We start from the raw sequence: 25,808 nt of genomic DNA, 5'->3' as shown, positions 1-25,808 counted from the left end.
GCTCCTGTATCACTAGCCCTTAATGAGACCCTGAGGAAACCACATCATGGAGATCAGCCCTTCTCTCCTGTAAGGAACTCATCCTATGAAAGAGCAATTGGTGGCTGCAAGAGCTGTCTCTGGGACAGCTGTTCATGTCTATATCTGCAGGGTAACCCTCATAGTCATATGCAGTCATATCCATAGTCATATCTGGAGTCAGTCTGCAGCTTGACTGAGTGAATGGAGAAACTAAACATTTATTACTGAATAATAACATTAATAAACCATCTTAATTATAGTAATAATAAACATATTGATGAGTATTAAAAGGAATGATGATGATTATTATGATACTAATATCCATAATTAATAATTTTAATATTGATAATACTACTAACCCTGTGGACTTGGGACCTAAAGAGCAGTTTCCCCTGACAATTATCCCATATTTGGCCACAGGGGGTAATATTAAGTTCCAGAAGGCAAAGATTAACATTCAGAAAAATAGGAAAAACAACCTGCAGGTAGGCATGTGCACACATGGGGACTCTATGGATAAATACTAAAGTGACTCTTGTTCTGGATCTCCATGCTAACAAACATGCACCAGCTTTCAGGAGGTAGGACAGCTGGCTGATGGGGCAAGGCTTCTTGAGGACATGGCAGGAGTCAGAAATCACACATGCTGCCCAGAAGCAGAGCTCATGACAAGCAGTAAACCCCAGCGAAAGGACCTGGCTGCCCTTCTGCCATCTGCTCTCCCATGGCCTCTCTTGACTGGTACATCTAGGCACTGGAGTAACCTTCACTGGCTATAGGAGGGCATAATCCTCAGTATTCTCCCACCTGCAAGAAAGACAAAAATTAACTGAATACCATGGCTTCTGGGTATCCTTAGTGGGCTTAGCGTACTTTGCGTTTGCTTTAACAGGCCAGTTATCCAGGCAGTGACTTTCTGTACAGCTACAGTCACCTCTGGACACCTGCGGAGACTTTAAAAATTTCCAGAAGGTCAGGAATTTGTGGAGACCTTTCTCATGGCTACGTTGCTTGCAAAGGTGAATCAATAAGCTTCTGAACTGACTTAGAAAATGTTGCAGTCTCTTGTGAACAGATAGACCCTCTCCTGCCACTCCAGATACACATATCTGGGTCACACACACACCTGATTTAACAACATCTCATTATCTCAGGTGGGCAACAGACAGCAATTTAGGACTTATCCCAGTGTGGATGAGAGATATTGAGTTGGCTTTGAAAAATGTTAAATAGACTAGATGGGGCAAGAAAGCCCATTCTGGGGCTCAAAAGCCTGCACACAGAGTTGCTGGCACATAAAGGGTATGTATAAATTCTTTCTCAGCCCATGAGATCAGGATGTACTTCATCAGTATACCATGCTGGTACGAAGAGATTATTGCCTCCAAAGGGACTCAGAATATTTCAGGGAACCTGTATTAGTCCATTTTTACACTGTTGTAAAGACAGTACCCCACACTGGGTAATTCACAAAGGGAAGATGTTTAATTAATTCACAGTTCTGTATCGCTGGGGAGGCCTCAGGAAACTTACAGTCATGGTGGAAGGCAAGACAGAAGCAGGCACCTTTTTTCACAAGGTGGCAGGAGAGAGAAGTGAGTGCACAGAAAAAAAAACCTCCTACTTTTAAAACCATCAGATCTCCTAAGAATTCACTCACTATCATGAGGATAGCATGAAGTAAACTTCTTTGATACATGGCGATTACAGGTCCCTCTGTCGATGTGTGGGGATAATAATTTGAGATGAGGTTTGGGTGGGGACACAGAGCCAAACCATATTATTCTGCTCCTGGCACCTCCCAAATCTCATGTCTTTTATATATATTTCAAAACCAATCATGCTTTCCCAACAGTCCCCGAAAGTCTTAACTGATTCCAGCATAACTCAAAACTCCAAGTCCAAAGTCTTATTTGAGACAAGTCCCTTCTGCCTATCAGCCTATAAAATTAAAAAAAAAAAAAGTTAGTTACATAAACAATGGGGACCTCATGACCCTGATCAGTGCCCTATCCTACTGTGGCTCAACTGATATCCAAGATGCAAGACAAAGTCCTTTTTACTCTTTCCTCTAATCTCCTCTAGCAGAAGGAAGCGGTCTTTTTTGGAGCTGCAAGCTGTGCTGCCTGGGGTTGGGGGAGTGGTAAAGCAAGTACTCCTCTAGCTGTCCTGGCTGGTGTCTCAGTAGGTTTTATGGCCACTCACCTCAGTACACTGGCTGTGATTACAGTACTATTGTGTCTGCAGTAGTGTATGATATGGAAAATAAGTGTCCATTCTCCAAGACTCTTCTTGAGCATCAAGGCTGCCTGATAGTTGAGATATAGCTACAGACTTTCCTCGCTGAGCCTAGCATGCACATGTTCCTCTGCTGGAAAAAAACAAAAACAAACAAACCACCAAACAACTTCCCACAAGTGGAATATTCTGGGACTCAAGGCCATCTAGATTATTTTGTCCCCAGGGTGCTCACTTGATGTGGTGTGCTTCCTCTTTCCTCAGAGTAGGAGGCCCTGAAATTCAGATTACTGCATATGCTGCTGCTGCTTCTCTGGGTCTAGCTACCCAGTCGGGCTGCCGCACACCAGGCTGATGCTCAAGAATGTCTGCAATGGATCCAGTGATATAATCTGTCTTCAAGTCTCACAGCAGTGTGTATCATCAGCTGATCAGATGGGGATGGCAGGGGAGTGATGTAGACTCTGAAAGATTCCTTGGTTATAAATAGTCCTAGTGTGTTGTGTATTGGATTTCTCAAATGCCAGTTGTAGTAGTAATGAACTCATCACATGGAGAGACTCAGGGCCTCCTGCTTAGCCAGAATGATACAAGCAATGGTAACAGTTGTGGTCACTCACAACTTTTCTCCTTCCTGGGTGCTATGTTATTCTACCTGCAGATGCTGTAAAGGACTGTCAGTAGGCCTTCAGCCAGGAGGTGGTGCTTCCAAAAGACTGCCAGCTGTGGTGGTAGTGGTGAGATTTGGACTTGCCTTATGTTACACAGGGGAGGCACTCTGGTGTCTCAGGAAATAGGTGAAGCCATAGAGCTTCTAAAAGTTTCTTCTGTTATTTGTGTTAATCTACCAGGGTAGGTGGTTGAGCAAAGCCAGTTGGGAACTAGGCCAGGTAAGGTGATGCTCTGGCTCTCTATGTGTGGGACAAGCAGTGGCTCCAGTGGGAATTGGAAGGCAGTTCTTGGGCCACTGGAGTAATTTTCCAGAGAGAAGTGAAGCTGTCTCTGCCTCTGTACAAGGAGAGTCCATATGAAGAATGGGGAGTAGCAGCTTGGTAGTAAGCCCCATCCAGCTCCCACACACTTGGCAAGGCAGGTCTCACACCCACAGTGTTCCACTGGGAGTAGCTAGCTAAGTTTCAAGAAGTCTGAGCTCAGAACTCAAAACTGACCCATACCATAAGTCTCCCCTATGGAGACAGCAACTGCAACCTTCAGGCCACACCCTTCCTGATCCACCTGCAGAGCAGGGGCCCCCAGCTCCTGTGCTTGCTGCTGCAGCACACTTCCCACTCACCTCTCAGTTCCGGCCTGGGGAGTTTGTCCCCAGTCAAGATTATATCACACATTTCAGTTGGGAGGTTGTCTCAACCTGTGACCACCATCTGACTTAGCTGGCAGACTTCTAGGAGGTCCTGTCTGAGGTAGAATCAGAACTGGCTTCCCTCCATTCTACCAGAAACGGGGAATGTGCTGGAGATTCAAAGCACATCCCAATGCCACTCCTCATATACTCACCACTTTTCCCTAAATCAGCTCCAGCGCTGAGTAGGGTTAAGGCCTTCCCTCACGGCCTGGATTGATAGGTTTCCCAGTGGAAGTGTATATCTTAGAGTCAGTTTACCCTCCTGTCACACCCTGGAAACTTACAATTTTCTGCCTAGCTTATGGTGTAAGCTGCATCCTGCTGTTTCTTTCAAATGGTCTGTGGCTTATTTCAATTTTCCTGTTAAATTCCTGTGTTGCTTCTTGAAAGAAAGTTCACAGTGTGAGTCTCTACACACCATTTTGTCTTTCCAAGTGCAAGAGGCAGACTAACAATGCCTTCAATCCACCATCAATCCACCATCTTGGAAAACAAAAGTAACAGTTTTCTCATTTTTAAAAGTTTTGTTAAGATCTGTTAATGACTCACAAAGAAATAGTACTTGGGTATATTTGAAATTAGGATTTATTCATTTATGTTGATAAGTGAAAATGCAAGATGGTTATCAAGATGGAAGTACTTAATATGTATATTTTAATATTCTTAGATGCAAATAACTTCACTTTTGATGTATTTTTATTTTGTCTCAGTTTCATTTCAACTTAGGTTTAAGGGGTTCTTGATAATCTGACATGATAAGTGGTGTTGGAATTGGCATTAAAATCCACCATGCTCTACAGCACTTCATCTTTCTTCGGCAGGCACCAATTTGATCTTCTACTACTTTGCAGACATCTCTTCGGCAAACACCAGACAAATTGAGACAATGACCTTCCGCAGGACCCAAACCACCCTTACTGCAGGAAAGAAGATCCAGTGAGATAGTTAGTCCACAAATGGAATGTAAATCCATAAACACTCTTAAGTAACAGAATAAATTTAGTATTAACGTTTTTATGTGGGAGCTCTTGAAATGGTTGCTGCTCATATGTCAAAGACACATGCAGTTTAAGAAAGGTGGCAGTTCCAATCCTGGTTTGTCCCAACAGTCACTGCATTTTTGGTGGGGAAAAGGGATGTGAGAGGAGATGGTACATCTTCATCTTTTTCTCTGGGTTTTCTGTCAGAAAGGGATGTTGCTTACTCCAGTGGCAAAAAATGCCAGTGTCTTCTGCCAGAGTGGGTTACTGAGGGCCCTGGTGGTTCCACCTTGTGGCTGATACAGATAGTCCCTTTCTGCTTTTGTTTCTAGCCAAAAAAGATGTTTCTGGCATCTCAGGTATGCTGATTTCAGCAGCTGTTTTTTCTATATGGCTATTTTTTTTTTCTTTCACTCTCTCTTTCTCTCTCTCTCTCTTTTTTTTTTTTTTTTTTTGGCTTCACTGTGTTGCCATAGTTTCTTAAATGGTCCCTTGAACACACCCAGGGCTATTTTGGTTTGTACATAACTATCTATATATTTTTTTCTTGGGGGGAGGGTGTAGAGCTAAAGGCTTGTGTATCCTGCTCCTGTTCCCCAAAAGTGGCTTTATTCCCCCAAGCTAATATTTCAGGCTTTCAATTTATTCACGCTTTCATCTGTTTAAACATAAGTAGAAATTACTTTTTCTCTCCACACTTAGATTTGATCTATCTACTTTAATTGGTAATAGTGTCTTAGTCATAGAATAGATTAGTTAGAAAAAAGTGTTTTTGACATTATAAATGATTCTTTCAATTTGTGTCTAAAAGTGAAAAATACTAAAAAGCTTTACATTTATTATTGTATTCAGACCAGTATTTCCTCCAGATGACCTTTATTACAACAAAGATAATTTAATGAAGATCTCTCTAATGGTAAAGCTGATGGCTTTGTGCTATTACAATATCCTTCAAATAAAGTGACGGTCTGGTGGAAATAACAACTAAAGCAAGGATTAGGAAGAAAACAGTTAATACCTTCATTTTGTTCTCACTCTGAATTAAGAGTTTTCATTGTGTTAAAGATTGATTATACATTAAGTAATTTAATGTTCATTTAATAATAAATGGATCCTATTAAATATGATTTTTAAAATTATAATCACATTACTTTTATTCACATCTGTCTACTGATGCCATTCTAGATGAGAATGGCATAACATTATTTTATTTTTTTTCATTTTGCCACATCTTTACTTACTTAGGTTTATGCTCTATCAAACAATGTATGTGTGGGAGTAATGGATGATTCAGGAATGCATGAGGAGGAGGTTTAAGCTCTTTAACCTTGAACAATTAAAATTAGCAACATAATATTGAAATACATACATAACACTCAAGTGGCACTTTCAAAATAGTGTATATTTCCTCTGTTTATTTGTAGCTTTTAAACCCAGCTAGAAGCATTCTATTTCCTTTAGGCAAAATAAGTCTGAAAGTCTGTAGTGAAAACTACAAGTAGTAAATGATGCTAATTCATGTGCTCCCACCTGTGGAATAATTGAATGTCTTAGATGAAAAAAGATGGTGTAATTGGTGTACAAAGTTTCTAGAATACAATTTGATGGTGTTTTTTTCTGTTTCCACAGCAGATTAACATATATAATATTCCCCTTTCATCAAGTTATTTAAATATGCCTTTGAACGGGGAGAATTGAAAATAATACTGTGAATCCTGGTAAACATTTTAAAATAATGAGAAGAATATTGCCTTTACAAAGTCAAAATTTTTCTGAATACAACCCATATAGCAATTTCATAGCAAAACATTTCCTTCAGTCCTATTAAAATCAGAAGGAAAAGAAGAATACCCACTGTCAATGTTGTATTAATATAGTTCTAAAAGTTTTGGACAATGAAATATGTTGTAAGAAGAGAAGTCGGGGAGACTTGAGCCCATTGTTTTTCCTCTCCTTCTATACCTCCCAAAATACCATTGGAATGTTGTAACATTTTGAAGAATCTATAGAAGTGTCCCAAATCATAGAATAGTATGAATGCATCTGAATCTGAGATATCTCCAAAAGATACAAAATAGGTGTGATTAGAATGAAAGAAAGATTTAGGCTTTTGGCCACGATTGCAAGTTAGCTGCTCTCAAATGACTGCTGCTATCGAACAAATACATTTTAGAGGATCTCTTTGAAACAATTCTATCCTTGAAAATGATTAGGGATGTTCTTAAAATACCTCCTCTTTCAAACACAAAAATAGTCTGTGAACTGGAGCTTGAGCCCTGGGCACTTTGTATTGGCTAGCTGATGGAGGGGGGTGAGAGTTTCCCAGATCTTCTGGGAAGATCTGCTATTGTCAGCAATGCTATTGGTGGTACTACTGACTCTTGGGCCATCAGAAATTCCAGTTCGTTAATCCTGGAACTTCTATATTGAGATTAAGCATTGAGTCAGTTTCACAGAGAAACTTTGGATAATAGCATTCTCATTTCAGACCGTAGAATGATGGCAGATTAAGGATGAGCAATGAGTTCAGTATTAAAAATGATCAGGTAAGCAAGACACCATGAATAAAAGTTAGTGAAATGAATAGCACATTTAAATCCTTGAAAACTAAATGTATTGAAATTGTCAATGTGGAGAAATAATTAAGCACCTGTGTATCGATTGTTTAAAGAAACAATCTACTATTACAAAGATGTAAAAACAATAGTAAAACAATATAGATGATAGAAAAAATGGACAGGTCTGGCTGGGCGTGGTGGCTCATGCCTGTAATTGCAGCACTTTGAGAGGCTGAGGCGGGTGGATCACGAGGTCAGGAGTTCAAGAACAGCATGCCCAAGATGGTGAAAACTTGTCTCTACTAAAAAAAAAATGTATATATATATATATAAATTAGCTGAACATGGTGGTGGCACCTGTAGTCCCAGCTACTCAGGAGGCTGAGGCAGGAGAATCACTTGAACCCGGGAGGTGGAGGTTGCAGTGAGCCAAGATTGCACCACTGCATTCCAGCCTGGGCAACAGAGTGAGACTCTGTCTCCAAAAAAACAAAACAAAACAAAAAGGCAGGTCTGAATAAAAAAAAATTAAAAATAAATGCAAGTTATTAATGATATATTAGATATAGGTAACAGGATAATTAGTAAAGAAAAAAATGCTTAAATGATATACTCAGAATGTAGCATGGAAACACAAGGTCTAACATTTATTTAATTCAAATATGGGGGGAGAGAAGTGTAAGAGGATTCACCGTTTCAAGAGATTCTCAAAAAGAAATTAGGAAAAAGTATAAATCCATTGATTCAAAGAACGTATTTCTAACAGATGATATAAAAATAAATTCACATTAGTTAAATTATAAATTATAAAACATTAAAACCAAACACCAGACCACACAAACATTGAAAAAAGGACGATTTATAATGAAATAATATTTATCTGATTATTATAGTAAAGCAAAAACTAAAAATGAGTAAACTAGTATCAACAAATGTGGAGAGAAAATAACTGTTAGTATACAATTGGGTACTCAGTAATGCTGTCTTTCAGGAACAAAAATAACGATATGAAATTGACAGATAAAAACTAAAATTGTTCACTATCAAAAGATCTGCAGCAAATAAAATTTCAAAGGCTATATATCAAGAAGAAAGAATTTAACCCAAAAGCTGATCTCAGAGTTAACTTGGAATTCCATAAATATCACTAAACTGATGATAATAGTAATACTTTCTGACATGGGGGGGATCCTGAAAAGAAGTGAACTTTTATTTTTGTTTAGAATTTAGAAAGTTATAGAAAAATGCTCTTGCCCTGACAAAGAGAATAAGCTGGATAATCTATAGATCATAGATTTCATTTTAAAAGACAGAGCTGAGGTCTCAAAAAAAGCTAATTAACTTAAATTCAGAGTAATGAAGCCCTACTGAAAAAAGAACGGATCCACAGATGATTTGTGTGTACCTGAGTTGCAGCAGCAGAAGCAGGAGTAAGCTGCCCTTGATGCAGATAAGAAGGAAACAAGTGAACCTCAAGCAAATGTTGAAAGGCTGAATGTGGGCTTGTGATAGTTTAGCAGCAGTAGGGGCCCAAACACACTCACTCACTCACTAATGCTTTAATGCTTTTCTTTTCTTTCTTTCTTTTCTTTCTTTCTTTCTTTCTTTCTTTCTTTCTTTCTTTCTTTCTTTCTTTCTTTCTTTCTTTTCTTTCTTTCTTTCCTTCTTTCCTTCTTTCTTTCTTTCTGTCTTTCTTTCTTTCTCTTTTCTTTCTTCCTTTTTTTTTTTTTTTTGACGGAGTCTCACTCTGTCACCCAGGCTAGAGTGCAATGGCATGATCTCGGCTCACTGCAACCTCCGCCTCCAGGGTTCAAGAGATTGTCCTGCCTCAGCCTCCCGAGTAGCTGGAACTACAGGCACGTGCCACCACACCCTGCTAATTTTTTTGTATTGGTAGAGACAGGGTTTCACCGTGTTAGCCACTGACCTCGTGATCCCAAAGTGCTGGGATTACAGTGCCTCGGCCTCCCAAAGTGCTGGGATTACAGGCGTGAGCCACCGCGCCCGGCCCCACTAATGGTTTTTTCAAGACCTATCTTGGGTGCTCCTAGGTAAGATCAGATGGAGAGCAGGAGAACTACCTGAGACACTTTTGAGGGACAGGCATGTAGGAACTGCTGCAATTTGAGGTCAGAGCAAGGTAAAGGTCTCACTGTGAGAATCGCGGTAAACCCTCTGTTACTGGGGAGTGGGTTGGGGAGCTGAGAGAAACCCCCTTCACTCTCTGTTCTCACAGGTGCATAAGAAGAGAGGCCTGATGAGGTCTGAAGGCAGGGGAGGGCAGGTAGCTGAGAGAAGTAGATTCTCTGGTCTTTCACTGAGTGTGAGGCAGCTACTGCCCGAGGTTGGGCAAGGGATGGAAGCCCTGAGAGATTCTTGAGGTGCAGAGATAGAGGCTTGCTGAGGATGAAAGTGGACAGGAAAGCTAAGAGAGGCTCCAATGCTGACCATGGCACTCTGCAAGAAGATAAAAATCTGTATGTAGAGGTTTATGAGGGAAAATCTTGAGTTCAGTTTTGGATATATGTTACTTTTGAAATCAAGTGTCCAAGTAGATACACCATTATGCAGTTGGGTAATTTATTATAAGCCTGGAGTTCAAAAGGAGGTCCAAAAGGAGAATTGAAAGGGATGAGACTTGCTGAGCCCCTCCAAAGAGTGTGTGGTGAGGGAGAAGAGAAGAGGACCAGGAACTGAGCTCTCGAGCTCTCCTATAGGAGGTGTGATGCAAAAGATGAGGAAGAAACAAAGGAAGCCGAAGTGGTAGCTCCAGTGAGACAGGCTGAGAATCAAGTGAATGTGCCGTCCTGGAAGCCAACTGAAGAAAGTATACTGTGAAGAAGGTAGTGATTATCTGTGTCAAATGCTGCTAATAGGCCAATTAAAGTTGTAGTGGAAAATGATCATTGGATCTAGCAATATAGGGATTATTCGTAACTTTGACAAAAGTGGTGTCAATAGCATGATCGAAAAAGGGGGAGAGAGCCTGATTGGGATATATTTAAGAAACAATGAGAAGAGAGGAATTGAAGACACAGAGTATGGACAACTATTTTAAGATGTTTTGCTGAAAAGTAGAGCAAAAATTGGGATGACAGCTGGCATCAGAAGAAATGCAAGGACATTCTTTTTCTTAAATCAGAAAAACAACAGCATATTTGTTTGCTGGTGGTAATAATTTACTAGCATCAAAATTGATGACACAGTCATGATATAGTGAACTGCAACAGGAAAATCCCCAAGTACACAGCGAAGAGGGAATATAATACACAAATTTAAAAACTATTTGGATCTCTGAAACATCTGTTTTGATATTAGCCTTTCATTCCTGCAATAGTTATTTTAAGCATGTTCTCATTTTCTCTTGTTCAGTGTTGCCAGGTTATTATAAAGTGTATTAAACTTTTTGAAAAACATTTTTTAAAATACTAGTTTTTTCTCATTTGTTTCATTAATTTATATTTTGTATTTATAATTTTCTCTTTATCTTCTTTAGAGTTATTATGCTGTTTTTTTTCCCAAAAGCCCCCAAAATGCATGCTTAGCCCATTAAATTTCAGCCATTTTTGTATGGAAAGTTATATTACCCACTTCTGTGTGGTTACCTGTAATATACCGTGAGCAGCACTTCTTGGTGTCTTTGCTGCTTATTAATTCACTTGTCTGAAGTTCCTTTAACTCTCCTTTCTACTCTTCAGTTTCACTTTGCAAATCATTTTTTATTCATAACCACATAAAACATAATTTATTTTGAAAAGTCTCTCATATAATTTTCACTTATTCTAGGATTATAATTTTTCTGTTTGTCTCTTCGAATAAAACCTTCAGATTTGTCAACACGCAGTTAGCAGTAGCTCCTATTGATAGGATTCCATCCATCTCTTTTGACCTAGTAAGTGAATATAATAATAGATGCCACAGAAATTCAATCCTGTCAGATCTAACTGCCTGCATGTAAATTTCCATGTCCCGCAAAGGCATCTCATTGAGGTCACGTTCTGTTGTATCCTTACTTTGTATCTTGAGGTGCTTGGTGGGGCATGAAAGTTTACATGTAGGCAGTTTCATCCGACAGGATTGGGTTTCAGCAGCATCCATTATTATATCCACTCACTAGGTCAAAAGACATGGATGGAATCTTATCAACAGGAGCTACTGCTAAATGAGACTCTTTTCTAGTTTTCCCTATTATAATCCTAGTGAAGCTGTAAATATTAGGTTCTTGAACCCACAGGACTGATTCTAGGATCTTGTCTGGCCAGGGATATAGCCTTCTCATCTGCAGAACCTTATAGTAATCAGCTACCAACTTACCTGGGGATAAGAGAATTGAAAAAAGGAGAATAAGGAGAAGCAAATGGAGTCTCATGGCTGAAGGGCCAGCATCAATGTGGGTTGAGGCTGGAGTCTCTGGGCATCGTGGGTCTAGGCCTTTTTATGATGCTCTCTGAGTCTGTGATTTGTTCTTGGTCAGTAGAGCCTAACGAAAAGAGAATAACTAAATCTCCCACAGGAAATTTCCAGGGACACACAAGTACATAAATGTGGTGATATCTCAATGGATGAGAAAGCAGGTGAATGCTATTTATTTCCCAAAGATTCAGGATGTCTTTATTGTCACCTGCTTTCTTTATTATTTTCGACATGCACATGCAATAATCATTGATCTCACTTTATACATCTATTGTTTGCCAGGCAATATAGTAGGAACTGAAGTAAAATTGTTATACACAAACAGTACATAATTAATGGATATAGTTTAGCAAGTTTGCACATATATATTATCTTGTTACCACACCAATATCCAGGTAATAATATATTCATCACCTCCAAATGTTTCCTACGTCCCTTTGTTGTTGTTGTTGTTGTCAGAACCCCTAAGATCGACCTTCTTCACAAATTGTTAAATACAAAATACCTCATTGTTAACTAAACGTACTGTGTTTTGGAGCCTATCTACGTAATTGAATCATTTTGTATAGCTTTAACCCTTGAACAATAACTCCCCATATTGCTCTTTCCCCACTCAATAAAACACCAAATTCTTTTAAAGCACATTCTATATAATCCACTTTATGAAGCTTTTCCTAACACTCTTTTATCTGTTCCCCCCCAGTAAAGGGAACTACTAATATAACAATTACCTATTTTGGATTATTGTGTCTTTTACAAACATTCCTTCATGAACCCATTTAACACTTATCTCCCATTATCTTACTATGAAGTAAAATAAAACTTGACGTGATTTTAAAAATGAAATCACAAAAGGGCTTTGTAAAATTATGATGTACCATTGCTTTTTTGTAAGAATTCAAGTTACACTAGGGGTTTCTAAAAATCTTTTGTTTTTATTTGTTGCATATTGTAAGCACAGTGTCTTTTTCAGCTATTTGCTGTGGGAAGAAAAGTTAGAGTTACAGTGAACATCGTAGGCTATCTTGTCTAGTCACTTACATTACAGATGAGGAAATGAGCTGAGGGAAAGGAAGAAACTTGCCCAGGATCACCCAGTGATCTAGCAAGGAAGGCGATAGGGACAGCACTAAGGCTTGGTATTCTGAGCCACATTCTATTTTCTCCTCTTGCCCCTTCTCTGTTTCCTCCTCTCTTCCCCGGCTTTCCAGAAAAACTTTACAGTTCTGCTGCAATGTCTACCTAAGGACATCCAGAGGAGACCTCACTTTTCATTAGACTGCTTTTTTAAGCACTGTCTTGCATTTTCTTCTTCAGTCTTGTTGTATCCCATTTTTGGCTATAAGTAATGCTTCTGCTGTGCTGTTCTATCCAGTTAGTTTCTTCTATTTTCATTGAGAGAAAATTAAAACAAAAAAGCCATTAGTTTATCTAAATTTGGAAGTTTTAAAACTTGATTAGAATTTCCTGGGATATGGATGTAAGACATATATTTTAAAATATTTTTCATTTTCAAAATTAAAAATCAAACCCATAGATTTAGCCAGGATGGCTACTTGGTAACTACTAATCAGATCGGTCTTCAGCAATGCCACAAGGATAAACATCTTGTCAATCAATTCCCTGGTGTTATGTGCTACTGAATTAATACAATTTGATATGGTATCACCTTTAACCAGGCTTTATGGAGTCACACAAAGGAACAGCACAACAGAACCATAGGGTGGCATGTATAGGGAAAGCTGGGATGTAAAACCCAGCCTTTACTCTGACATTTACTCCACTGTTGGGAAAAGCACTTCAGTTCCCAGAGCCTTAATATTTTCCTCTATAAAACAGGAAAAATAGAGCCATATTTAAGGTTTTGTCAAATCTTCTTGCTGAGTGATTTTACAGTGTCTGCAGCTATCCTCTCTGCTAATCATAACAAGGCTAACGAACTGTTCTTTTGTTTAGTTAAATATATTTTTGCATTTGTTTACAAATTCTTATTCTTCCCTTCACAGAAAAGGAAACATTTTAAAGGTAATTTATAAAATGTTAAGAGTCTCTTACATATCAACTCTTCACAATGTGATAGAGTAGCTTAACCCCAACCCTAAGAGTATAGTTTCAGATCAGCCCCAAACCTAGGTGGAGTGTGGGATACAGAATGTATTTCAAACACATGTAAAGGCACACACACGCACACACAAACACACACACACAGTATTACCTAAGGCAGAGGTGCAGATGACAGTCTTGGATAGACAGCTCAAAACTCTTAGTACTAAAATAATCCTAATAATAATTTTCCTTCCAAAGTCACCACCAACAATCAGATCTCTTAAGGGTTGGTGCCCTAGGTTTTCGAGCCTTGTGTATCTTTTGGCTTTCTTTTTTGGTTGTGTGCTATTTATCTCATAGAAAGAAACCTCTTCTTCATCCTATGCCAGTGCTGTATTGTAGGGGATTGTTGACATCTTCCTGGTATGTAGCAATCCAGGTGACTGGCCTCTGGCTTCTTAGGAGCAAGACCATCACATGCTTTTGTTCTTTGTCTGCTTGTTTCCTTGTAAGGGCCCCAGCCCCACATACAGTGGGTGCTTAACAAAAATTTGATCAACTGAACTCATTTTCCATCTCCGTTCTCTCCACTTCAAACTTTCCTTTTTATTTCTTCCAGATTAGTTTTCCTACAGTGAAATGGGAATTGTCCAAAAACTGCCCTTCATCTTTATAACTTGAAGGATTCATTTACCCTAAGCAGTCCTTTTAAATTTACTATCACAGACTAGATAGAAAAGTCTGGGTTCACCAAGAATAGGCATGTGTGCCATCATATTTTCTGTTGAAAACTTTGGAAAGTGTCTTTTAGCAAACAACATAAAGCATAGAATTTGACCATCCCTGACAATGTAAAAGGACCATCCACATTCTCACATGTCCATGGCTACTTTCCCACTCCTTCCCCAACCTTGAAATCCTGAATTCAAAGGAAAATATGAGAAGATAGTTAGCCTCATATAAGGCAACAGGTTGCTTAATCATTCTTGCCTATACACATTCAAGAGCTCCATATAATTTTCTGATCTACTTAGGATGCCTGATCATCTTCTTGGGTAAAAGCAATAAGTCCTACACAGAATCACCAAAACCATGTCTGCTCAAGGGGTCTTATACCTGTGATTCATGATTGCATGCTCAATGCAGAAGGGCATGCTCTGTTGCAGGGTCATATCTGCTCATTGTGTTTAAGTTCTAATTTAGAAGACTAGTTGCTGAGGAGGAAGAGGGAAGGATAATATTAGGAAATGGAATCAAACTTAAGGGGAAAAGTCAAGTACAGGGGACCAACAGTACTGAGGGGCAATAGGTTGAAGATTTCTTAGATTATTGCAGTATTTTCAAGGAGACCCCCACGAATCCTTCCTGGCTGACCCCACCAAAGCTTTGGCATAGCCTTTATGCCAAATGTCTTAGACTAACTTTTCCTAAAGAAAATAGAGGAGTTATGGAGACCAATACTTAGTAGAATAATGCCTGATTATTTTGCTTTTGAGGTCTAGCAACTGCTAGTAAATTTGCATAATTAATTCACATTTAGAAGTAGAGTAAAGAGGGTTTCAAGCACTTGAAACACCACTGACTTCATTTCATGTGAGAGTTGCTATGGAGAGCTAATGAACTATGAGGCTGCAGGTCTCTCAGCCAATAGGTCTTCTAGATTTCCTATGTGACTCCCTTTTCTGGTCCTAGGCGATTTTGCTTTTGCTTTGAGTATTATAGCACCATAAGGTGTCAGACACTCTACTCTTACCAAGTCTTGCACAAAGTTTATCTTATTATTTGGTGGAGCTTGGCTCATTAAAAAAAAAGAGAGAGAGAGAATGATAAAGAGGAGGTCAGCAATCCTCACGGCTGAGGAAAGAAGAAAGCTTGGCTTTATTTCCAGTAGGCAGAGAAAACTTCCGTCTGTGGCTCTCTAGCACCAGTGGAATGTCTCTGTTTGGATAATAAGTGTCCTTCCATACCTCATTAGGCATATTCACAGAGATGTACTATGCACACAAAATAACTTCCGTGGGACGACTGAGAGTCCATGTTTTATTGGACACTAAGTTCATTAGAATGATGTGGGTGCACAGTTTTGACCAGAAAACCTTGTTAAATGGGAACATAAGCTACAAATATTTTGGCAAAAGATTAAGGTTTATGAACAAACAACCATTTATAGTAAGTTACAATTAATTAGGTCATGTTGAGAAACCATTTAGTTTAGTTAATAATTAGACATTTTGTTAGTGAACACTTCCTAGACTTTACTAGCCCTATCAATCCCCACTTTGCCCCTGGTCTGAACCCCCACAGTGTCTTGTTTATGGTACAGTGCCTACTGCCTTGTATGTTAGATTAGTGAACGTATATTTGCCTCCTCTACTACTGCAGGAGCTTCTTGTTTGCCAGGACAGGGCTATATTGCTCAGAGCTGAGGAGGAGTTGAATCATGTGGTCATTTATTCTCAAATCCTCTTCATCAAGTGAAGCAAAACAGGACAGTGAAAGGACACTGCACATGGAAGCAGGAGGTCTGGATTTCAGTTTTAAATCTCTAGATCTATTACTAATTGGAGGTATGGATAGAGTCAGGAAAATTTTCTTCCTTAAGTCTTGATAGCACCTATGTAAGCCCAGATCTGTTGGATCTAGATAAGGGGATTCTCAATAATTTCTGTGCATAAAATCAACTGAAAGAGTTAGTTTGCAGTGCAGATTCTTAGCCCCATTCTATGAAATTTTTACTGTTTTATAAATTGATAAATAATTTTTATTAGACGATGTAAATTTCCTTATTTGCGCCAGCATACAAAAATATTGAATAATATTAGCAGCAGAATCTTTCAACAAAATAACTATGTATAGCTATTAAACCACTTTGTTTCACTGCTTTTTATTTTCTTTTATTTGTCACTATTGTCTTCATTATTATCATCATCACACATTATTGAACACCCATCATGGACCATATGGCGCAAACATTGTTTCTGCTCATAAGGAGTATGTATTCTCTACATATTTATAAAATTAATGCCTGAATAAGTTTGCTTAAACAAGGCAGAAGTTGATTTCTTTTTCACGTAAATTTAACCTGTAGTTATACCATTCAGGGCTAGTACAGATACTTTCTTATATCATTAGGGATGCAGGTCCCTTCCAGCTCTCTGCTCTGCTATACTTTAGAAAAGGTCCTAGTTTGGCTGCTAAATTCCCACCTATTATTTCTGAATTCTAGACAGCAGGGAGAAAAAAGGCATGAGAGAAGGGCTAAGGAATATCTACACTTCCTTTTTAAATTTTTTAACCAACCCCCCTTAAAAACACTTTGTTGAGACATGATTACATTCAAAAAGCTGTACCTATTTAATGTGTATATCTCAGTGAGTTTGAGAATAAGGATACGTTGTGAAAGCATCACTGCCATCGAGATTATAAACATATTCAGCACCTCCCAAAGTTCTCCCTCCCATTCTAATTATTATTTTTATTGGTAAGAATAATTAACACAAAATTCACCTTCCAATTATATTTTAAGTAGGCAATACAGTATTCATAGCTATAAGCACTATGCTGTAAATTAGACCTCCTGAACTTATTTATGTGGTATATCTAAAACTTTGTACTATAATCACACCTACACACTTACCTGCACCACAGCTCCTGGCCAGTCTACCCTCCGCTTCTGAGTTTTTTTTTTTTTTTTTTTTTTGAGATTTCAAATACAAATGAAATCATACAGTGTTTGTCATTCTGTGTTTGGTTTATTTCACATGACTTCATGCCCGTCAGATCCATCAATGTTGTCACAAATGACAGGGTTTCATTATTATACAATACTGAATAATATTCCATTATGCATATATATATATATAAAACATTAATTCAGCCGTCCATGAATGAATAATAACCTCTATGTCTTCTTCATAGATCTTGACTATTGTGAACAGTGCTGAAAGGAACGTAGGAGCGCAGATATCTCTTTCACATACTGATTTCAATGACTTCATATATATATATATATATTTATATTTATATATATGGATATATATATTATATATAAAATAAGTGGGATTGCTGGAACAAAATGGTATTTTTATTGTTAATTTTTTGAGAAACCTCCATACTATTTTCCAAAGTGGCCATACTAATTTACATTCCCACCACCAGTATACAAAGATTCCCTTTTCTCCACATCCTTACCAACACTTGTTATAATCCATCTTTTTGATAATAGCTATTCTAACAGGTGTGAGGTGATATTTCTTGGTAGTTTTCATTTGCATTCCCGTGATGACTAGAGAGGGTAAGAATTGTTTATATATGTGTTGTCCATTTGTATCTCCTTTTTCGAGAAATGCCTGCTCATATATCTTTGTTCATTTTTTACGTTTTTAATTTTTATTTTAGACACAGAGGATACATGTGCAGGTTTGTTACATGGATGTATTGTGTGCTGCTGAGGTTTAGAGTACGAATGATGTCATCACACACGTAGTGAACATAATACCTAATAGGTAGTTTTTCAGACCTTGCACCCAACCCTCCCTCCTCCCTCTAAGAATCTCCAGTGTCTGTTGTTTCCATATAAGTGAGAGCTAAACAGTGTATAACCCAATGTTTAGCTCTCACTTATACATGAGAATATGTAGTATTTGGTTTTCTGTTCCTGTGTACCACACCACACTGGGCTAATTTTTGTATTTTTGGTAAAGATGGGGTAGCTTCAGCATGTTGGCCAGGCTGGTCTTGAACTCCTGAGTTCATGTGATCCACCCACCTCACAAAGTGCTGACATAACAGGCATGAGCCACTGCACCTCGCTTTTCTGAACTTTTTTAGCTTATATTAGGTTTGTCTGTTCTAGAATTTTGTATACATTTATTTATATTATAGGACACTTTATAGCTTAGCTTTCCCCACTCGGGATTAGAAAGATTATATTGATCCATGATCATGATGTTGATTCATAGAGTTGATTATTCCCCTTTATTGCTAAATATTACTCTATAATATGCATATAATTTATCAATTTCCTCTCAATAGACATTTGAGCTGTTCCCAGGCTTCAGCTATTGTTAATAGAACTCAAGGACACATTTTTAAAGGAAAAAATTTCAACCCAAAATGTCCTTTCCTTTTGGCTCTCCAATATTGTGTCAGAGTTATATTTTTGTTGTCTTGAAAATCCAATTACATTGAACAGGAGGTGTCTCTAGAATCAAGTTCAGTATATGTGTGTTCTGGCTGTGTCCTAGAATGTAGCCCTTATTAGTTTTATTAAGCATTTTCCTATATAAATTGAAATCAAGTTGAAGACTCATTTTTCCACAGTAGGACAAATAGAAAAGTTTAGGACTTTGGAGAGATGGCAACTTGCTGCTTGCCTGTGCAACCCACCTCAAAAGATACAAGTCCTCCAACTTTTGATTCCTGGTAAATTGTCCAAACAATTAGATGTGAATTGACCTTATTCCCTTACATTACTACAAGTCGATCCTCTGCACCTGGCCAAATACAGTATAAAATTGATGAGCATATGTTTCTTTTGGTTTCATACTTTCTATTTAAAGCTATTCTCTTTGGCTGGGCACTATGGCTCATGCCTGTAATCCCAGCAGTTTGGAAGGCCAAGATAGGTGGATCACTTGAGGCCAGGGGTTTGAGACCTGCCTGGCCAACATGATGAAAGCTGTCTTTCCGAAAAATACAAAAATTTTCTGGGTGTGGTGGCACGTGCCTGTAATCCCAGCTACTCAGGAGGCTGAGGCAGGAGAATCACTTGAACCCAGGAGGCAGAAGGTGCAATGAGCCAAGATCCCACCTCTGCATTCCATCCTGGGTGACAGAATTAACCTCCATCTCAAAAAATTAAAAAGCTAATCTATACTTTTCTTTTGGTGCATTATTAGAACATAGAAGGCAATAAGGCAAAACTATTGTGGGTATATTAGTGCGTATCTGTAGCACCTAGCACAGTGCCTAGCCCATAACTTGTGTTGAAAATTAAGAGGACCTTCTTCATATCACTTTTCCCCACTCTAGTTCTGAATTTAAAGAAAGAAAAAAGTAGGTTAGCAAATATAGGTATCAGTTATTTCTATTGACAGATCATTTGGAGAACATGTTTTTGGGTGTGGGAGAAAAAAGATTCCTAACTCTCCACCCCAGAAATAATTTTGCTGATACAAAAATCAGCCGGACATGGTGGCACAGGCCTATAATCCCAGCTACTTAGGAGGATGAGTTTGAAGATAAGGATACATTGTGAAAAAGGTGGGAAAATCACTTGAACACAGGAGGCAGAGATTGCAGTGAGCCAAGAGTGCCCCACTGCACTCCAACCTAGGCAACAGAGAAAGACTCTGTCTGAAAGAAAAAAAAGTTGTTGCTATATAGCACATAATTTTATTGTCATCTCATTTAAAATTGAATAGTACATTTGGGTTGAATTCTTATGCCTGCAGAGACATTTGCTTCTGGCTTAAAGTCACTGGCTGTAGGAGGAAACTCCAGCAGAGGGCATCATAAGGATTTCATAGTGTCTATGGTCATCTTGGTAATTCCTCAGATAATTCCTGGCAATTCTGTTAGGTCTTGAACTTCACTTACTTCTTACATGTTTAATAAAAAGAAGTTCAAAACATTGCCATGGCTGTTGAATTCCCACAGGCTTGTCTTCCCTTTAAAATTTATCACATGGTTTGTGCTCTTTTGCAGATATAATACGTAAGTTTGGAGGTGGATGCTTTCAGCCACTAAGTTCAAAAGTACTGCCACAAGGGCCAGGCATGGTGGCTCACACCTGTAATCCCAACCCTTTGGGAGGCCAAAGCAGGCAGATCACGAGATCAGGAAACTGAGACCATCCTAGCCAACATGGTGAAATCCCATCTGTACTAAAAATACAAAAATTAGCTGAGTGTGGTAGTGTGTGCCTGTAGTCCCAGCTACTTGGGAGGCCGAGGCAGGAGGATTGCTTGAACCCGGGAGGCGGAGGTTGTAGTTAGCCGAGATTGTGCCACTGCAGCGCAGCCTGGTTACAGAGTGAGACTCCATCTCCCAAAAAAAAAAAAAAAAAAAGTACTGCTACATGGACATCCATTGTCCCAGCATCTCTTCCATAATAGCTGAGGAATTATCGAGAATGTCTGTTAATTTCTTTAACTCCAAATTTGTGTTATGTCCCTTGGTCTCCTGTCATACCATAAATTGTATTATTCATAAAATGGACACTTTGTCTATAGTTATTTCTTCTCAGGATGCTACATCCCTTTAGAATTTAAACATACAGTGTCTCCCAACCTGAAATTTGAAGTTTTGAAAAACCAGAAAAATGTTTTCGGACACCTTTTATTTCCAGCTGGTTTTATGTCCTCTCCTGAATCCAGGTTGAGGGTAAAGTCCATTCATCAGCATTTCTCCTCAACCGACAGCAATCTCATCCCACTCCAATATGATGTTTGTCCCCACAAATTGATGCACATAATTCTTGCTGGCAGTGGTAATGTCTTAATAAAAAAAATCATGAGATGGCATCAGACTTTACTTTATTTTCTAGCTCAGCAGAATTTGATTCCTGTCTGATAAGGAAACCCTATTTTCCCTAGAAACTTTTCACTTTTGTCACAGGTTTGGTTCCCAGGGAACTGGATATAGATGAAGTTTAGTGTGCAGGATGTTTATTAGGAAGTGATGTGAGGATCCACATCTGTGGAAAGGATTGGAGGGAAGCCTTATGTGCAAAGGGACAAGTCTAATGGCAGTGCAGCCTGACATTGTCACCTGGCCACACGGACAGAGCTGTAGAGCTAAGAAATCCTCCCCTATTTGTCCCAACTGAATCAAATGGCAAAGCCTATGTACCCCTCCCCTCCATTAATGATTGTGTGCTTGCCATTTGTGGAGGATGAGACTTTGAAGCAGGTGGCTTTCTGTGGCTGAAAAAAACCTTAAATGTGCTGACAAAGTTTTCCAAAGAGACAGAGAATGGCATCTGCCATGTATGTTGCCCCTTTCCAAAGAGGAAGCAACAAGGGTAAGCAACAAAGGTAAGCAACAAGGAAGCCTCCAATGGCTCTGTATGCAGATAGGAGGAAAGTAATGTCTGTCCCTCCTGTGACCTAAGAAGAACAGATGGCAGACATGCAGCCAGGCAGTTAGAGGTGACACAGTGTTAGGAGATAAACATCTGTCAGAAGCAGTGCTTCTTTGAATCAGGTGTGACACGAGCCTTGCATCCCTTGCATGGTCCCCTTCCCCATTATCCTGCTGTCCTACCTCATGAAGGTGGGTGGGGGCTGGCTGGTGGGCAGTCCCAGTACCAGGTACACTTTGCCTGCAGTGTTTCCACATGAGTTCCAAGGTAGCCCATGTGGTCATCCATGAACTTTGTGTTTTCCTTATGCTGTTTGTCCTTTGCCTTTGAGGAACATGTTTCATTTGACTCTGAGTCCAAACAACTCATGTGTCCCTATATCTGTACATTGTCCTTCACTTAGGGGAATCTCTAATCTCTAATGCCTTTGTTTTATTTTTACTATTAGTATTATAATAATTAACATTGTCATTATTATCTTCATTGTTGATGTTCAGTTATTTTTATTAATAGAATTACTATGAATTATTATATTGTGGCTACTTACACCAAGATGAAGATAATTTATTAGTTCAGGAAGGATCTGCATTCTGAAGGCAAATAGAAGTTCCAGCTACAGATGGGCAGACGCATGCCCTCTCAATTTCTGAGGGACCTCCTAGTGCCTCCTGGACCTAAGGGGCCTCCCTCAATGTTTCAAGATGCCACCAAGGCAGGGATCAGCTCGTGCATTCCTGAGAACATTCATGATGAAGTGAGGCTCTGGAAAAATGCAAGAGTTTCCACATAATCCCAAAAAACCCTACAGGTGAACTGGATGCCACAGAAAGAGGAGTGGTCTTTGACACAATAAAATCAACAAAATTATTTCAAAGTCAATTAGGAAACTCAGAAATCACGCTTGCTGCCATTAAGAGGAAGAACAGGAGCCTGTGAATGGCATCCTTGGCCTTCCCGAGACTCTACAGATATTTCTATGTGGCTTCAGACACCAGAAATCTCTGTGATTTTCAGAAAGGCAGGGACAGCTCCTGCCAGCCCATCCCTCTGCAGAATGTGTCCCAGCAGACCAGTGGCATGGAACCATCATGGACAGCACAGAGGCTCAAGGGCAGCATCCCAGGCCGGCCTGTGACTCTAGATAAGTTCTGAGTCCCCATGGGGGCTCAGGAAAGGTTAGTGACGACCTGGAAAGAAGGGACAGGCTGAAACCACCCCTAAGCAATATGCAGGATTCCAACTTCAGCAGGAAGCCAAGGACCAGCTCGTACCACAACTGCGCCCCCTGAAAACGCTGGATACAGTCCCACTCTGCAGAAAGTTCCACGTAGAAGTGGCTGGGAATTTTGTATTCTAGACTGCATTTTACAGTACCTCTGGACATGTGATGAGAAATTTAACATTGGTGTATCTAACTGTAACATCTTTCATGAAGCGATTTTTTAAAATGTGGTAAAAAAGACAAAATATAATTCAAACATATGCATTATATGTCAAAGTATGCTTTGCTGGCATCAAGTAGACTCACCTTGAGATACAATCTTGGACAACCTCCATCTTCAGAATATCTACTTTTTCAAAGAGAAACTCTACAACCAAAAATCAATAACATCAAAAGTCTGCAACTACAAGCCGACGGAAAATAAATACAGGAATTCTACCACAGTGAATTGGACCGCACTGGGAAACACAGATGAAGAAAGTCAACACCGCTTTTTCCTTCAGTGCCTGGCTCCTTTTTCAGCTCGTCTTGAGACTCCAGGCATTATGCCTGAAAAGTCTCCTAGACGCCTGTGAGGCTCTAATTCCCTGGGTCCCATTGCCATTTCTCTGGATTTGCGAAGATCCACCGGACCTTCTGTGGAACTCCCGTGTCCCTGTACTTTTGTGCCTCGTCCCCTAATTCTGCCCATGGTCATCTGCACCTGCACGAGTTAGGGTCCATGTTCCTTGGACGGGAAGAGACAGGCAGGAGTCGGAATGATGAACCAGCACACTGGGGCGTTTTCTCATGTAGCCCAAGTGACCCCATGGTCTTCTTGAGCTTTGGAACCAGTCGCGTCCCCCTTGACACTGCACCCGACTCCCAGTTTCTCAATCTTGTTGGCCCTCCAGCGATCTCCCGTTGGATGAATTTCACCTGCTGAAACTCGGGTCCCCTTTGATTTGCGCTTCATTAATTATTCATGATTCAGGTTGGAAGGCCTGCTGACGACCCCCTGTGGCCTTTCTCTGAGCTTTCCGGTCACATGTTTCCTTCCACGCTCTTTGGTTCATTGTGGTCCTGCTCCTTCTGCTGTCAGAGGAGCAGAGAGTTGATCTTATTGATTCTGGATACGGATACTTTCTAGGTGATCTGGATAATCAAGATAACGACCCTCAACAGCGGCGGAAAGGGAGCAGCCATTTGGTGTGTCTCAGAAAATCCCGCTCAGTTCCGAGGCCTCCTAGATGTGGAATCCTGCTCAGAGTTGTTCCCAGGTCAGAGAATGGAGAGAGCCTGTGCATGATGGGATATCCCTGCCTAGATCTTTCAGTGAGTCTCTACTACAGCTCCTCTTAGGATCAGGGGGAGAACCATGGAAAGGCCCGGTGTCAGACATCCGGAAAGAAGACGGGATGAACGTTTTACCTCTGAAGTACATCCCAAATGTGGGAGTTAACTTCACCTTTGCTGGGGTCTATTTGGCTAGTGAAACTCTGCCTGGTTCATTCGCACATCCGGAAGCCACTTCACGGGGGGCCGTCGCAAATGGAACCACACACTTGGCATCGGCGGTTGAGCCAAATGGGGACTCGTGGTACAAGGAACGCTCCCCACGTGTTAGCGTGCGTGAGATTCGGTTGGCAGAATTTTACTAGGTGTGTGTTGGTAGAATGGGGCTGAGGTTTTCTTGCTCCTGTGGATGTATACGAAGTCAAAGCACCTGCCCAGCCCTGCGGTCCCCTCAGTCAACTCTGTTTCGGAGACATAACGATTTGGATTGCTAACAAGTCAAGAAACTTTCAAGCCCTTGGATGTAGGGAAAAGAAAGAGAGATCAGACTGTCACTGTGTCTATGTAGAAAGGGAAGCCATAAGAGACTCCATTTTGAAAAAGACCTGTACTTTAAACAATTGCTTTGCTGAGATGTTGCTCATTTGTAGCTTTGCCCCAGCCGCTTTGACCCAACTTGGAGCTCACAAAAACCTGTGTTGTATAAAATCAAGGTTTAAGGGATCTAGGGCTGTGCAGGACGTGCCTTGTTAACCAAATGTTTACAAGCAGTATACTTGGTAAAAGTCATTGCCATTCTCTAGTCTCAATAAACCAGGGGCACAATACACTGTGGAAAGCTGCAGGGACCTCTGCCCTTGAAAGCAGGGTATTGTCCAAGGTTTCTCCCCATGCGATAGTCTGAAATATGGCCTCGTGGGATGAGAAAGACCTGACTGTTCCCCCGCCTGACACCCGTAAAGAGTCTGCGCTGCGGTGGATTAGTAAAAGAGGAAAGCCTCTTGCAGTTGAGATGGAGGAAGGCCACTGTCTCCTGCTTGCCCCTGGGAACTGAATGTCTCGGTGTAAAACCCGATCGTACATTTGTTCAACTCTGAGCTCGGAGAAAAGCTGCCCTGTGGCGGGAGGCGAGACATGTTGGCAGTAACGCTGCTTTGTTATTCTTTAGTCCGCTGAGATGTTTAGGTGGAGAGAAACATGAATCTGACCTACGTGCACGTCCAGGTATAGTACCTTCCCTTAAACTTAATTATGATATAGATTCTTTTGCTCACATGTTTTTTTTTTGTTGTTGTTGTTGTTGACATTCTCCTTATTATCACCCTGCTCTCCTACTACATTCCTTTTTGCTGAAATAATGAAAATCATAATCAATAAAAACTGAGGGAACTCAGAGGCCGGTGCCGGTGTACGTCCTTGGTGTGCTGATTGCCGGTCACCTGGACCCACTGTTGTTTCCCTATACTTTGTTTCTGTGTCTTATTTCTTTTCTCCGTCTCTCATCCCACCCGACTAGAAACACCCACAGGTGTGGAGGGGCAGGCCACCCCTTCACTTGGAAAATCAGTTAAACACAAACACGGAATGAGAGTCAAAAGACAATACG

General features: G+C 40.0%; 1 protein-coding gene across 1 annotated transcript; it reads right to left on the bottom strand.

Annotated features, from left to right (window-relative positions):
* Positions 1 to 4,334: 4,334 nt before the first annotated feature.
* Positions 4,335 to 11,529, bottom strand: LOC124900661 (beta-defensin 109-like). Its single transcript, XM_047416496.1, has 2 exons — positions 11,471 to 11,529; positions 4,335 to 4,539 (listed from the first exon to the last, which is right to left on the bottom strand). The coding sequence occupies exons 1-2, from the start codon at positions 11,527 to 11,529 to the stop codon at positions 4,335 to 4,337; spliced, it is 264 nt and encodes an 87-aa protein (XP_047272452.1).
* Between the last annotated feature and the right edge of the window lie 14,279 nt (positions 11,530 to 25,808).

This window comes from Homo sapiens, chromosome 4 (assembly GCF_000001405.40).
Source record: "Homo sapiens chromosome 4, GRCh38.p14 Primary Assembly".
Classification (NCBI taxonomy): Eukaryota; Metazoa; Chordata; class Mammalia; order Primates; family Hominidae; genus Homo; species Homo sapiens.
The sequence above is the reverse complement of the archived record's forward strand: the minus strand, read 5'-3'. Positions and strand labels throughout refer to the sequence as shown.

Excerpts from the sequence above, each read along its gene's own strand:
- LOC124900661 (XM_047416496.1), bottom strand. The coding sequence starts at position 11,529 with ATGAGACTCCATTTGCTTCTCCTTATTCTCCTTTTTTCAATTCTCTTA. Across the intron at positions 4,540-11,470 it reads ATTCTCTTATCCCCAGGTAA|TAAGGGTGGTTTGGGTCCTG; the intron begins GTTGGTAGCTGA and ends TCTTTCCTGCAG.